At 36.0% G+C, this 16,781-nt stretch overlaps 1 long non-coding RNA gene across 1 annotated transcript in view, besides 2 other annotated features; it reads left to right on the top strand.

Annotated features, from left to right (window-relative positions):
• The window catches only part of LOC105369878 (uncharacterized), a 145,625-nt gene that overhangs the window by 25,562 nt on the left and 103,282 nt on the right, over positions 1-16,781 (top strand). The window lies entirely within an intron of this gene.
• Positions 10,448-10,497: an enhancer, noted in NCBI's record as "active region_6697". NCBI's record gives its function as "activates an Ori minimal core promoter by ATAC-STARR-seq in GM12878 lymphoblastoid cells {active_cell/tissue: GM12878}" and the evidence as "EXISTENCE:reporter gene assay evidence [ECO:0000049][PMID:35858748]".
• Positions 10,508-10,637: an enhancer, noted in NCBI's record as "active region_6696". NCBI's record gives its function as "activates an Ori minimal core promoter by ATAC-STARR-seq in GM12878 lymphoblastoid cells {active_cell/tissue: GM12878}" and the evidence as "EXISTENCE:reporter gene assay evidence [ECO:0000049][PMID:35858748]".

Here is a 16,781-nt window from a genome sequence, read left to right as displayed (position 1 = left end):
GGTGGATTGTATACTGCCCAGGTGACGGGTGCACCAAAATCTTGGAAATTACCACTAAAGAACTTATCCGTGAAACCAAAAACCACCTGTACCCCTAAAACTAGTGAAATAAAAATAAATAAAAAATAAGAATATTTACATAAGACTTTGGACTTAAGAGTTGATGCCAGGTTGGGTTAAAACTTTTGAGACTTTTGGGATGTATCTTGCATTTTAAAAGAGCATGAATTTTTTGGTGGAGGCAGTGACAGAATTGTGTCCCTCCAAAATTCACATATTAAAGCCTTAATCCTCAACGTGACTATATTTGAGATAGGGTCCTTATGAAGTCATTAAGGTTAAGTGAGATCATGAAGCTGGGTCTCTAATCACGGAGGATTGGTCACTTCATGTGAAAAGGGAGAAGGAGAGAGAGAGAGGTTTCAGAAAGAAAAGGTTATGTGAGCATACTGTGAAATAGTAGCTGCCTTCAAGCCAAGAGGACAGGCCTCAGACTGAAACCTATCTCACTGGTACCTTGATCTTGGACTTCCGGCCTCCACAAACTGTGACAAAATAAACTTTTATTGTTTACATTAGCCTGTTTATGGTATTTTGTTATGGCAGCCTGAATAGGATACCACTTAATATATAGTCATCTGTAGCCTAACATATTTTTATTGCAGTTTTATTTGTATTTTATATTGGATAAGTAATTGCTAGAACCTATTATAGGACAAATGCTTTACCTATGCCCTCTAAGTGTTTGTTCTGCTGCTTTCATTACTCATTCTTGGTATTTTTCTGCCTCTTTAATCATTCTGCCTCAGGCAAAGTACAGTAATTTTTCTGACTTGTAAATTTAGGAAAAATAAACTGGGCATGCTCAATTCAGCTTCTACCTTTTTCTATTTGGGAACAAACTGCTTGTAAGAGTACTTGCTCTTTACTCCACTTTGCTGTCAGTCAGATCTGGACAGGTTCCTGTGCCCTACAGAGTGGTGGGACTTGCCCCAATCTAGTATGCTGAAGCTGGGATAGCTGCCTGTTTATAGGGTTCAGTTAGCAGGACATTGAATCTAACATTGTCTTAGAGCCTCCAACATAGTCTATTTCAATAATAAAGACCTGTCACAGGTGATTAAACTGCTATTCAATATCTGAAATTTAAAAAAGAAAATTTAAATATATTGCTTGGTATAGTAAGAAAAGATATATTAGCCAGGCACAGCTCCACGGCAGAGCAGAGTACTGATGTTACAAGTGTTTGGGGTGGCATGAAGTTCTAATCCACTAGGATTAGTGGATTTTGAAAAGCTTATAGGTTTGATGCCATTTTTAGGAGGGGTTACTCAGGTGAGACTGTTGTGGATAGGTTGACACTCACAGATGTATATTTGTAGAGGGTGCTTTCCTGACTGGCTGACTTTCGGAAGGGAGTGTCTAATACTGACTGGTTGGTTGCAAAACCTAGTTCATTAATATGAATATTCACTGAAATATCAAAATGGTGTAAAACTTTTGATGAAACTGTTCTGATGGCTGTTTGTTAGCATGGCTACAGAACAGTCTTTTTTTTTTTTTTTTTTAACCTGTGAGAACTTTTTAAAAAAATTAACCTGGTAACATTTTAATCTTTCTGCTACTTTTATTCGTTCTTATATTTTTAAGTTTGTTCAGAACTTAGTCCAGAAAAAAAGCATGTTATTTATTGGGCTCCCATAAACCACTAGCAAACCCCATTAATGCATTTTAAATGTTTTCCAAGTCACAAAATGGTGAAGGCCAAAGAAAAGTTTAGTACTATGGTTATAAAAAGAATTTTTGCTAAACCAAGTGTCTTTTGAAAACAGACTTTTAGATGGAAATTGATCTAGGCTTTTTCTGCTCTTTGTAATTTCCCACAGCTTTTTCTTGGTCTCTTGATGATGCTTTCCATCTTTTCTTCTTACTCCATCAGCCTGAGCAAAGTTAAATTGTGTCCATAGCTTTCTCAAGGTTTAATTTTTTTCTCCCTCTTTCATATTCTTTTTATTTTGCTTGTGGCAAAATCATTTTCTTCATCGGGAATATAGATGTTTTTTACAAAAAATAATCTTACAGTTTGCTTTGTTGCCTAGAAGCATCAATGTTTTTCTTCCTTCTTTTTGATTCCTTTCATTGTTTTAACTCAGTATTCAGTTTTCTTCCAGTTTTTTTGTTGTTGTTTTTACTTTTATAGCCAAAAATGTTTGCTTATATAACAAGTTTGAGAGCCTTAGTTCCAAATCCAGCATTTCAGTGACTCCTCATTTCTCAGCTTATGATGTGTATCCTTTTTATATTTTCAAGCTCATTCTCACTTTTATACTCCTCATACCCAATATTGGAGACACAGTTTTTAATTTACAGTTTCTCCCACCTGGAAATTGCCAAACACTCACCCAGGAGCCATTGGTGTTGCTTATTTCATCATGTAAGTGCCATCTCATACTTCTAAAATCAACTCAAGACTCACTACCACCTTCTGTGTTTCTTGAGGCTTCCCTAATCCTTAATCCCTATCTCCAAGTAATAAAGTGAAACTGTACAGTAATTAAAACATAGACTCTGGCTTTGTCACATGAGATCTATATGACCCTTGGGATAATTGCTTAACATCTCTGTGCCTCAGTTTCCTAAGTGTTTCACCAGGAATATATCCTAAGAGTATCTTCCTTATAGGGTTGCTACAAGGATTATTTGCATAAGTATAAATCTAGGACAGTGCATAGGTCAGAATAAGTGCTTGACAAATGTTAAGCATTTGTTTAAAATGTTCCCACAGAAAGCTGCACATAATTTATTGCAATTTCTACATTTTGGTATATTTAAAACATGCATTGTTGATGTTTCTCAATGTCTATCTCCTTAAGTGTTAATCTCCTTGGATGTCAGAGAACTTGTTATATTTTTGTATCATCTGCACCAATAACATAGCTTCACATGTAGATAGGTTCAGGGCAAGTTTATGGATATGATAAATACATAAATATAAATTAAATCAATTTTAATATGTATTGTAATTCAAACCAATGCAATTCAATAAGTAATTTTGAATGTCTGTTCATACAAGACCCTTAGACCCTAGGCTAAGGTCAAAAATGAAAAATTTATGTACCTACTTTTAGGAAACTCACAATTTAGTGGATAAAACAGATATATAATTATTAAAAATATGAAGGTGAATGTTTGGTGCTTTTAGTATAGAAACCTAGATACATGTAGAGGAAGAGAATGGGTTTATAAGATAATAAAAAACATGGAGAAATTGACATTTCTCTGGGAAACTGGAAAATAAGCCTTTCTGTAACTGTTGTTAGAGACTTTACTGGGCACAAGGAAGCTGGTAATTCCAGGGTAAAAGTAAAATGTAAGTAAATACATGGATGCATTAAATTATATATTATGTGCCAGCAGTGCCAAATTAACTCTGCAATGGGTGTATCAGCATACCCACTGACCACAAGATCCAAAGAAAATCATAATCATATAAATAAAAGCAAATATATGGGGTGAGGAGGTGCTATTTTGACCCACATTACATTAGAAATACTAAGACAACATTAACTGACGATAATTTGTGAATAATTAAAAACAAAACAAAAACAGATGTCTGTATTCTTTTTTTTTTTTTTTCCTGAGATAGAGTTTCGCTCTTGCTGCCCGGGCTGGAGTGCAATGGCGCGATCTCAGCTCATCATTGCAACCTCTGCCTCCCAGTTTCAACCAATTCTCCTACCTCAGTCTCCTGAGTAGCTGGGATTACAGGCGTGCACCATCATGCCCAGCTAATTTTGTATTTTTAGCAGAGATAGGGTTTCTCCGTGTTGGTCAGGCTGGTCTTGAACTCCTGACCTCAGGTGATCTGCCTACCTCGGCCTCCCAAAGTACTGGGATTACAGCCGTGAGCCACCGAGCCCGGCCCAGATGCCTGTATTCTTGTAAATTATCTGAAGGTTTGGGAATATGGTCAACATACTTGCAAAACCATTACTAGGAGCTGACTAATGCCTATGCTATCCAACTGGCCCAAGAGAGCCCTCCAGCTCACCAGCGTCAGGCTATTTCTTCCTCCCTTTTCTCCTTGACATTAGGAGGAGTTTTACAAGTTAGTTCATCAGCAGGCTTGCATAGTTATTTGCTTTTACATCAGCATGCTTTGCTCTTTTACTTAACTTTTTCTGTTCTTGAAGATAGTTGAGATTATAGCTGTGGTACAGTGTAATTAATGAAAAAAGAATTTCAGAGGTCTATTAAGGATTATGAATTCTTTTCTTTACTTCTGTTATGCCTTTCAAAATATTAGAAATACTATGGTTCTTTAATATAACTACAGTATTTCTTAATTACATGTATAAGTAGTTGCATTAATTTTAAATTAATATTTTAATTCCTTTTAGAATTAAAAATATAACCCTATTTTACATTTCCTAATAACTTTATAATTTTAATAGTTATTCCAAAAATATTCAATTTTGTGATATTCATAATTTCTAGTTGACAAATTTTATTTAATCTATTTCCAATGATAGAATTAACTAAAAGAAATGATGACACAAACTCCTTTACAAAGTTCTCATGTATTAAAATTTAATAGTAATGAGATGGCAGTCAAAAAAAGAATTAAAAATATATTTGAAGCAATAAAGTATTTATTTGTTAATAGATATTCTAAAGAGAAAGCATTGATGACATTTATACTTATCTAAATAACATAATTATAGTAAATATATACATAATTTAGTCTCACTTTTTCCTCAAAGTTCAAGCAAAAATATAGAAGTATTATAACTTACCTTGTATGGAGTTTATTTTTTCTTAACAGCTTCACCTCCATTGTCTGACTCAATGAAACAAATGTACCTTTTACTTTCCTGTTGTTAAAAAAAAGATGTTTAAATTCAGAAATGTTAAAAATTTTGTCCAGAAAAAATAAATTGTGGCTTAATACTTACAAAACATTTGTCTCTTAAACCATATAGATCTCTGTATTTCTAAAATTAATGTATACTTACACAAATATGTGAAAACAATCTTATTAATATATTGAGTATTATAAATAGGTTAATATCTTACTTGACTACTGCTTCATTACAGCTTTCTTCTTTTCAAAGCCAGAAGGAAAATAGTTAATTGTAGATCCTTCCAGGCATTTTTCTACATGTTTATAAACACATGTATGTGGTAGTAAAAATAGAGATTTTTAAAATAATTATTAATATAATCTCTTTTAATTATTCTGAAACTTGATTTCTGAAGTGAGGATAGAATGGAATCTCACTGTTTTCATTAAAATTTGCCAATAGAAACAAAATTTTCTATTGATTGTGTATCTGTGTGTGTTTGTATGTTTCTTGGACCAATTTTGTTTATATCATTTATCTGTGTTACTAGTTCATAAATTTAAAAATATATTCTAATATTCTGTTTTTCTCCTGTGTTATATGTATTTCCCCCCAGTATGTCTCTTGATTTGATCCTTTTCTATGGAGTTTTTTGTCCTGTGTGTGTGTGTGTGTGTGTGTGTGTGTCTGCCTGTATAATTTGTACTATCAAATATCTAACATGAATTATTTTTGTCTTTTGCTTTTAAAATCTTATTTAAGAAGATATTGCCTGTCTAAGAACAGAAACATAATCTGTTAAATTATTTCGTATTGTTTTTATAGTTTGGTTTTAATATCTAAGATTATTATAGTTTAGGTCTTTATTTCATATTACATGGCATATGAATGGTATAAGTAGGACATCTAAATATACTTGACTTTTGGTGGAAAACCAAGTGTTCCAATGTCATTAACTTAGTTCAGCCTTTCCTTATTCAGTTCTAATGAGTTCTATAACAATCCAAAACTTCATCTTTGGATGTGTCTCTGAGATATTAATTTCTTCTAATAATTTGTTTTTATTACTACAAAATTATTATGCTGTTGCAGTTATGTTAGCTTAAAGTAACTTTAACTATTTCTCACAAATGTTTTAAATACATATTTTGTAACCCATTTGTAAATTCTGTGGCGAGATTTTTTTCATAATTTTGGAAATGTTTAACATTTTTATCAGGTTCTTTTTCCAACATTCTCTAGGTAGTTTATGGTAATATTGCAAAATCCACCTTAATTGCCACATATTCAAAGATTTCATTGACCCCTTTCTCTAGTCTTGTCAGTAGTCCATGTGAGTCATATGTCCATGCCTAATTTCTTTTCTTTCCTTTTTTTTTTTTTTTTTGAGATGGAGTTTTGCTTTGTCATCAGGCTGGAGTGCAGTGGCACAATGTTGGCTCACTGCAACCTCTGACTCCCTGGTTCAAGCGATTCTCCTCCCTCAGCCTCCTGAGTAGCTAGGATTACAGGCACGCACCATCAAGCCCAGCTAATTTTTGTATTTTTAGTAGAGACAGTGTTTCGCCATGTTGGCCAGGATGGTCTTGATCTCCTGACCTCATGATCCACCCACCTTGGCCTCCCAAAATGCTGGGATTACAGGCGTGAGCAACCACACTCAGCTGCCCAATTTCAGTTGGATGGGGAAGGGCATATGTTCTGTATGCCTGGAAGGTGGAGCAGTAGAAACATTGGAGAAAGGTATGACTGACTAACACAATGGGTTTGGGAGAGAGAGGAGATAAACTCATATGCTCATCTATCATATTTCACAAATCAATCTATCAATCTATCAAAGTTACATGAATAATTAATATACATAATATTACATATGGAAAAAAATTCTATTCAAGCTTATGTAAACAAAAAGTTTACAAAATAGGTAACAATTTATAAAGTACTATCATGTAACTTCTCATCTTCATCCACTTGGCTCATTATCTGCTGCTCTTAACTCTAAATAAATATAATCTCTTTATAGGGTAGTCCAGCAGCCTCAAAACTAGATTAACAGCACAGTATCTCCTCCACAGTCACAGTACTCTTTTCAAATTCATATATGACTATATAACTTCGTGGCATAAATCATTTAGTGGCTTACCAATATTTTAGGATTGAGAACAATGCCCTGTATGGATTGTCCTTTGTTTACCTTTTGGCTTCTTGTCTTATAACTCACTTCTTTTTTCATGTTTTTTTTCTAAAACATGCCACACTTTCTCATAATACAGAGTATTTATATGTGTGGCTCACATGCTCTGACCTCTTTGCTCAGTTAACTCCTCTTCATCTTTGAGACTTTAAGTTAAGGGTTGCTTCCTTAGGTTTCTCATTTGAACCCCTACCCCCCAGTCTAGATCAGATTTCATTGTCTGTCTACACAGATTTTTTTGTGTGTGTTATGCTTTTCCTTACATTGTGCCATTGTGTGATATATTTTTCACACAGTAGGTAGTACGCTATGGGAATGGAACAGTGGATATTTACGCTTAATCTACTCCCAGTCTATAAGATGTTGCTTAACATACAGTAGTATTCAATAATATTTTCTTAAATGAATAAACCAGAAAGAAAGTATATTTAGAAGTTTATTATTATGCTCTCTCTGGTACAGAATTATATCCAAGAATAAAGAAATGAAAGTAAGCAATAGTATAAAATATGAAATATTTTATCAGTTCACTATTAAAATTTCAACAACAGTTTTGCGATTTTATTTTCATCATCTTATTCTGTTATCATATATTATTTTATACAGTCAAAATAAACAAGATCCCTTTTAAGTTAAAAATCATGATTGCATGATTTCCAGGATATGTGACTATAATTTCTTAGACAAAATAATTTTTATTGAAATACTTTATTAACTGATTGATCAGTTTGTATATATAGTGTACCAAAAGTAATTGGAATTGAAATTACTATCTTTTTATATGGACTCAGAGTACTTTCTTGACATGAATCACAGAAAGTTCAGAAATGATTTTGGTCTTCAAAGTGGCTGCCTCGGTGGGATGAAAAAATATAAATTATGAGAAAGGTTTAAGTTTCATTGTATTATTTTCATTACAAACCAGTTTTTGTGTCTCTTTTTTTTAAAAAAATTTTGAGTGAGGGTCTTATGCTGTTGCCCAGGCTGGAGTACAGTAACATGATAGTGGCTTACTGCAGCCTTAAACTCCTGGGCTGAAGCGATCCTCTCTCCTCAGCCTCCTGAGTAGTTGGGACTATGGTGTATGCTATGACACCCAGCTGAAGTGTTTTTTTTTTTTTTACATTTTTTGTAGAGATGGAGTCTTACTATGTTCCCTAGGCTGACCTTAAACTCTGGGTCTCAAGTGATACTCCTACCTTAGCTTCCCAAAGTATTGGGATTACAGGCATGAGCCACTGTACCTGGCCAGCTCCCTTATTTATATTCCCATTGCCTCATTAGTATAAATGTAATAAAGTTTAACTTTCTTTTTGATATAAGAGAATTCCTACAGAACAAAGAGTAATATCGTGTTTTTTTTGTTTTTAAATGCAACTAATTTCTTTTAAAGGCCAGAACATTACAACACCATTCATCTGTTTTGTATCATAACATAGATTATTTTTATGGAAACTGAGTTGTATGTGAAAAATAAATATAGTGGCTAGCAGTAAGATTAGAGCTGTGCAATTTTCAAATCTGGTTGAAAAATATGTTACCTATGTCAAAAATGTGTCTTCTCTGTAATGAGTTTATCTCAGTACAGGGTGTTAGGTGAGTAGCTCTACGGTGTGAAGTTCTGTTTGTCCACCTAGTTTGCATTTTATTTTGGTCTTCAAAAGCAGACTGAAGTGATATATGCATGTTATAATTCCATGGTTTTGGTATCTCTGACACTTCTCTTCAAGAATAAAAGGATAACAGGAAAGAAAAAGTCCTTTCATTATGGCACTGTTAGTACCACCACAAATACTGTGGGGAAAATGAAAAAAAAAAAAATCTGGACTTCTCACACAAAGCCCTTATTTCCCAGAGATTTACATTTTCTTCTGCTTCTCCTAGAGATAACAGATGGCAGGGTGGTGATTTGGGATGGTAATTAGGCTGCTGTGTTTTTCAGCTAACCTTAGGTAGACACAGTCCTTTGAGGGCTGATTACTACTATGCCATTTTAAAATGCTAGCAGATAACCATTAAACACCTTTTAGTAATGAACTTTTTATAAACAATAAAACTATGATTAACTCTAGTATAATAAAAAACTCTACAGCAGCAAGTCAGTAATTAAATGCACTGTGGCATTTTAGAAGAATAATTTCAAGTTTTAACTGAACTCAAGAATTAGTGGGCACACAACAAATGAAAACTGGTAGTATTTTTACGTGATTCATTGAATTCACTATAGTACTGTAATACAAAGGGAACTTCTATGGAAGTAAACAAATTCTCCATGGGTGGAGTTAACAGATGGGAAAATTGAGTCTAACTTGGTCACCTTGAATAAAACAGTGAAAGTTGGAGGAAAGTAAATGCACATTATCTTTGGAAGGTATGCTAGGAAAGAACTATGTTTAGATTCATGAACAGATAGTGATATTCTATACAAAGGAACATTTTTATCCAACTGCACTACACATATTTTTAAACTATTGCAAGAATTAGAAATGATACTGTTAAAATATGCCTCTGGCTAATAGCAAAATGGACTCCCTATGGATAACTGAGAGGCACAAAGTTAAAACAGAGGAAGGCAGCTATGCTCTGAGAGAGAGTTCACAGGCCATGGCTGGGTGAGGAAGCGTAGTCAAGTACTCTGTGCTCTCAGAAAGATGCTGTAAAAATTTAAAGGACCTTCCTTTCTACAATCAGCCAAACCAGTTTCTATTTTAAGTGTTAAGATAAACTGCAGGAGGATTTTGGGATCATGGCAGACGAGAGGCAGGACTAGATTGCAGCTCTGGACAGAGCAACATGCAGAGGCTTGCACTATGAATTTTAGCTCCAGATCAACTGCAAAAACAAACCAGCAATCCTGAGAGGACAAACAAACCCTCTGAAGGAAGCAGACTGCTCCTTCAGGACCTGGGAGACACCCCAAATACTGTGAGCGCCCCAACTGTGGAGGTGAGAAAGGGAGACCCTCCTCTCTTGAACACACACCCCCACTGGAGAAGTTGAAGGTCTGTTTGCAGAAGAAGTTTCCGACTTTACTTGGAGATGAATCAAGTTAGAGAGCCAAGCTGAGCGAAATACAGGGGTAGAAGAAGCAGCAGAAAGGCCCTGGGAGATCACTGGGTCCCCAGGCAGCCCATTCCTGCCTGACACCACAGGGACCCATCAGGAGGGTGGCCAGAGGAGCAGGGAGTAAAACTCCACAGAGTGAAGGAAATCTCTAGCTGAACTTTGTAACAATTTGAACAGGGTGAGAAGCCTCCTGGCCAGAACTCTGGGGAGGGTGTGAATCTGGCTTTCAGACTTCACAGGAGGGGGAAGAATTAAAGCCCCTTTCTTTCACGGCTGGAAGGCAGAAAGCCTCAGGCAAGTTTTCAAGCCTGTCTTACCCTCTGCCTGGAAACAGACTAGGGACCTTTGTGGGAGCATGGTGGGTGTGAGACTGGCCCTTCAATTTGCATGAGAGTTGGGTGAGGCCTGTGACTGCTGGTTTTCCCCCACTTCCCTGACAACTTGCATGACTCAGCAGAGGCAGCCATAATCCTCCTAGGTACACAGTTTCAGTGACCTGGGACTCTCACCCCCATCCCCCACAGTAGCCACAGTAAGACCTGCCCAAGGAGAGTCTGAGCTCAGACACACCTAGCACTGCCCCCACCTGATGGTCCTTCCCTTTCCACCTTGGTAGTGGAAGACAGAGGCCATATAATCTTGGGAATTCTAGGGCCCTGCCCCCGGCCAGTCCCTCTCCACACTACTACAGCTGATGCTTTCTGGAAAGTGCCACCTTCTGGCAGGCAGCTAACCAACACAAAATAGAGCATTAAAGCACCAAAGCTAAGGGCCCTCACAGAGTCCATTGCACTCTGCCACCTCCATCAGAACAGGCACTGATATCCACAGCTGAGAGACCCATAGATGGTTCACATCACAGGACTCTGTGCTGAGAACCCCCAGTACCAGCCTGGAGCTGGGTAGACTCGCTGGGTGCCTAGACCCAGAAGAGAGAAAACAATCATGGCAGTTTGGCTCACAGGAAGCCACATCCACAGGAAAAGGTGGAAAGTACTACATCAAGGGAACACCCCATGGGACAAAAAAATCTGAACAACAGCCTTCAGCCCTAGACATTCCCTCTGTCAGAGCCTACCCAAATGAGAAGGAACCAGAAAACAATCCTAGTAATATGACAAAACAAAGCTCATCAACACCTGCCAAAAATCACACTAGTTCACCAGCAATGGATGCAAACCAAGAAGAAATCTCTGATTTACCTGAAAAAGAATTAAGGAGAGTAGTTATTAAGCTAATCAGGAAGGGACCAGAGAAAGACGAAGCCCAATGCAAGGAAATCCAAAAAATGATACAAGAAGGGAAGGGAGAAATATTCAAGGAAATAGATAGCTTAAAGAAAAAACAATAAAAAATTCAGGAGACTTTGGACACACTTTTAGAAATGTGAAATGCTCTGGAAAGTCTCGGCAAAAGAATTGAACAAGTAGAAGAAAGAAATTCGGAGCTTGAAGACAAGGTCTTCGAATTAACTCAATCCAACAAAGACAAAGTAAAAAGAAGAAGAAAATATGAACAAAGCCTCCCAGAAGTCTGGGATTATGTTACACGATCAAACCTAAGAATAATCGATGTTCCTGACAGGAAGAAGAGAATTCTAAAAGCTTGGAAAACATATTGGGGAGAATAATCTAGGAAAACTTCCCTGGCCTTGCTAGAGATCTAGACATGCAAATACAAGAAGCACAAAGAACACCTGGGCAATTCATCACAAAAAGATCTTCATCTAGGCACAGTGTCATCAGGTTATCCAAAGTTAAGACAAAGGAAAGAATCTTAAGAGCTATGAGATAGAAGCACCAGGTAACCTATAAAAGAAAACCTATCAGATTAACAGCAGATTTCTCAGCAGAATCCCTACAAGCTAAAAAGGATTGAGGCCCTGTCTTCAGCTTCCTCAAACAAAACCAGTATCAGCCAAGAACTGTGTATTCAGTGAAACTAAGCATCATATTTGAAGGAAAGATACAGTCGTTTTCAGACAAACAAATGCTAAGAGAATTCACCATTACAAAGCCATCACTATGAAAACTGTTAAAAGGAGCTCTAAATCATGAAACAAATCCTGGAAACACATCAAATCAGAACCTTTTTAAAGCATAAATCACAAAGGCCCCATAAAACAAAAATACAAGTTAAAAAGCAAAAACAAAAAACAAAAAACAAACCAAAGTACTGAGGCAACAAAGAGCATAATGAATGTAATGGTACCTCACATTTCAATACTAATATTGAATGTAAATGGACTAAATGCTCCACTTAAAAGATACAGCACTGCAGAATGGATAAGAACTCACCAACCAACTATCTGCTGCCTTCAGGAGACTCGCCTAACACATAAGGACTCACATAAACTTAAAGTAATGAGGTGGAAATAGGCATTTCATGGAAATGGACACCAAAAGTGAGCAGGGGCAGCTATTCTTATATCGTATGAAACAAATTGGAAAACAACAGCAGCTAAAAGACCCAAAGAGGGACATTATATAATGGTAAAAAGCCTTGTCCAACAGGAATATATCACAATCCTAAACATATATGCACCTAACATTGGAGATCACAAATTTATAAAACAATTACTAATAAACCTAAGAAATGAGATAGACAGCAACATAATAATAGTGGGAGACTTCAATACTCCAGTGAGTACTAGACAGGTCATCAAGACGGAAAGTCAACAAAGAAACAATGGATTTAAACTATACCTTGGAACAAGTGGACTTAACAGATATGTACAGAACATTTCATCCAACACCCACAGAATACACATTCTATTCAATGGTGCATGAAACTTTCTCCAAGATAGACCATATGATAGGCCATAAAACAAGCCTCAATTAATTTAAGAAAATTGAAATAATATCCAGCACTCTCTCAGACTACAGTGGAATAAAACTGGAAATCAACTCAAAAAGGAACCTTCAAAACCACTCAAATATATGGAAATTAATAAACTGCTCCTGAATGAGTATTGGGTCAAAAACAAAATCCAAATGGAAATTAAAACAGTCTTCGAACTGAATGACAATAATGACACAACCTATCAAAACCTCTGGGATACAGCTAACGCGATACTACGGGGAAATTTCGTAGCCCTAAAGACCTATATCAAAAAGTCTGAAAGAGCACAAACAGGCAATCTAAGGTCACACTTCAAGGAACTAGAGAAATAAGAAATAAGAACAAAACAAACCCAAACCCAGCAGAAGAAAGGACATAACAAAGATCAGAGCAGAACTAAATGAAATTTAAACAAACAAACAAAAAAAAGATACAAAAGATAAATGAAACAAAAAATTGGTTCTTTGAAAAGAAAAATAAAATTGATAGACCCTTAGCAAGATTAACCAAGAAAAGAAGAGAGAATATCCAAATAACCTCACTAAGAAATAAAACAGGAGATACTACAACTGACACCACTCAAATACAAAAGATCATTCAAGGCTACTATGAACATCTTTATGCACACAAACTAGAAAACCTGGAAGAGACAGATAAATTCCTGGAAAAAATACAACCCTCCTAGCTTAAATCAAGAATAATTAGATACCCTGAGCAGATCAATAACAAGCACCAAGATTGACACAGTAATTAAAAAATTACCAATTAAAAAAGTCCAAGACCAGATGGATTCACAGCAGAATTCTACCAGATGTTCAAAGAATTGGTACCAATCCTTTTGACACTATTCCACAGATATAAAAAGAAGGAACCCTCCCTAATTCATTTCATGAAGCCAGCATCACCAAAACCAGGAAAGGACACAACCTAAAAAAAAAACTGCAGACTGATATCCTTGATGAACATAGATGCTAAAATCCTTAACAAAATACTAGCTAACTGAATCCAACAGCATATTAAAAAGATAATCCATTATGATCAAGTGGATTTTATACCAGAGATGCAGGGATGGTTTAACATACACAAGTCAATAATGTGATACACCACGTAAACAGAATTAAAAACAAAAATCACATGATCATCTCAATAGATGCAGGAAAAGCATTTGACAAAATCCAGCATCACTTTATGATTAAAACCCTCAGCAAAATTGGCATACAAAGGAAATACCTTAATGTAATAAAAGCCATCTATGACAAACCCATGGCCAACATAATACTGAATGGGGAAAAGTTGAAAGCATTCCCTCTGAGAACAGGAACAAGACAAGGATGCCCACTCTCACTGCTCCTCTTCAACATAGTACTGGAAGTCCTAGCCAGAGCAATCAGATAAGAGAGAGAAATAAAGGGCATCCAAATCGGTGAAGAGGAAGTTAAACTGTCCCTGTTTGCTGATGATAGGATCCTTTACCTTGAAAACCCTAAGCACTCCTCCAGAAAGCTCCTAGAACTGATAAAATAATTCAGCAAAGTTTTCAGATACAAGATTAACATACACAAATCAGTAGCTCTTCTAAACACCAGCAGCGACCAAGCAGAGAATTAAATCAAGAACTCAACCCCTTTTCCAATAGCTGCAATAATAATAATAATAATAATAATAATAATAATAATAATAATAATAATTTAGGAATATACCTAACAAAGGAGTCAAAAGACCCTTACAAGGAAAACTAAAAACCCCGCTGAAAGAAAGCATAGATGACACAAATGGAAACACATCCCATGCTTATGGATGGGTAGAATCAATATTGCAAAAATGACCATACTGCCAAAAGCAACATACAACATATGCAATTTCCATCAAAATATCACCATCATCGTTCACAGAATTAGAAATAACAATCCAAAATTTATATGGAACCTTAAAAGAGCCCAGACAGCCAAAGCAAGACTAAGCAAAAAGAACAAATCTGGAGGCATCACATTACCTGATTTCAAACTATGCTCTAAGGCCATAGTCACCAAAACAGCGTGGTACTGGTATAAGAATAGGCACATAGACCAATGGAACAGTATAGAGAACCCAGAAAGAAACCCAAATACTTAACAGCCAAGTGATCTTTGACAAAGGAAACAAAAACATAAAGTGAGGAAAGGACACCCTTGTCAACAAATGGTGCTGGGATAATTGGCTAGCCACATGTAGGAGAAATGTAGAAGAATGAAACTGGATCCTCACCTCTCACCTTGCACAAAAATCAACTCAAGATGGATTAAAGTCTTAAACCTAAGGCCTGAAAGTATAAAAATTCTAAAAGATAACTTTGGGAAAACCCTTATAGACATTGGCTTAGGCAAGGATTTCATGACCAAGAACCCAAAAGCAAATGCAATAAAAACAAAGATAAATAGCTGGGACCTAATTAAACTAAAGAGCTTTTGCAAGGCAAAAGGAACAGTCAGCAGAGTAAACAGACAACTCACAGAGTGGGAGAAAATCTTCACAATCTACACATCTGACAAATGACTAATATCCAGAATCTGCAACAAACACAAACAAATCAGTAAGAAAAAAAACAAACAATCCCATCAAAAAGTGGGCTAAGGGCATGAATGGACAATTCTCAAAGGAAGATACACAAATGGCCAACAAACATATGAAAGGAGGCTCAGCATCTCTAATGGTTGGGGAAATGCAAATCAAAACCGCAATGTGATAGCACCTTACTCCTGCAAGAATGGCCATAATCAAAAAATCAAAAACAGTAGATGTTGGCATGGATGCAGTGATCAGGGAACACTTCTACACTGCTGTTGTGAGTGTAGACTAGTACAGTCACTGTGGAAAACAGTGTGGAGATTCCTTAGAGAACTAAAAGTAGAACTGCCGTTTCATCCAGTGATCCTCCTGCTGGGTATCCACCCAGAGGCAATGAAGTCATTATTTGAAAAAGATATTTGCACACGCATGCTTATAGCAGCACAACTCACAATTGCAAAATCACAGAACCAACCCAAATGCCCATCAGTCAACAAGTGGATAAAGGAACTTTGGTATATATACGTGATGGAATACTGCTCGGCCATAAAAAGGAATGAATTAACAGCATTTGCAGTGACCTGGATGAGATTGGAGACTATTATTCTAAGTGCAGTAACTCAGGAATGGAAAACCAAGCATCATATGTTCTCACTGACATGTGGAAGCTAAAGCTATGAGGACACAAAGACATAAGAATGATACGATGGAGTTTAGGGACCTGGGGGCAAGAGTGGGGGTTGAGCAAGGGATAAAATACTACAAACATGGGGCAGTATATACTGCTCGGGTGATGGGTGCACCAAAATCTCACAAATCACCACTAAGGAACTTATTCATGTAACCAAATACCACCTGTACCCCAATAACTTATAGAAAAATAAAAATTAAAAATTTTAAGGTGAATGGTAATGGTATTACTTCTAATTATGGAGAATTCTGCAGTGGATAAAGAATAGTTAATTGAGTAAAAAAGTCAAAGAAATGTAGCAAATATGTTCTCCATTACTCAAGAAGACATTTCACTGCATGCTTCTGTAGATCCAGTAATCATACTTTATTGTGATGGTTATTTGATGCACGTTAACTGATAATACTCATTTGGATGAAGAACATGGAAGTCTTGAAGCCCTAGGAGACCTCCTTTTAAAGGTTCTTATTTTTTGATATAGATGATCCATTAAATGTATTTTTTGAATCTCCTAATGTATTATAAATTCTGTCTTTCTAAATAAGGTAATCTCATACTCAAATTTTAAAGTTTCATATATTTAAATGTAGATACTGATCAT

The sequence above is a fragment of the Homo sapiens genome, chromosome 12, assembly GCF_000001405.40.
Source record: "Homo sapiens chromosome 12, GRCh38.p14 Primary Assembly".
NCBI classification, from domain to species: domain Eukaryota; kingdom Metazoa; phylum Chordata; class Mammalia; order Primates; family Hominidae; genus Homo; species Homo sapiens.
Note: the sequence above shows the minus strand (reverse complement) of the source record. Positions and strands in the feature narration are given on the sequence as shown.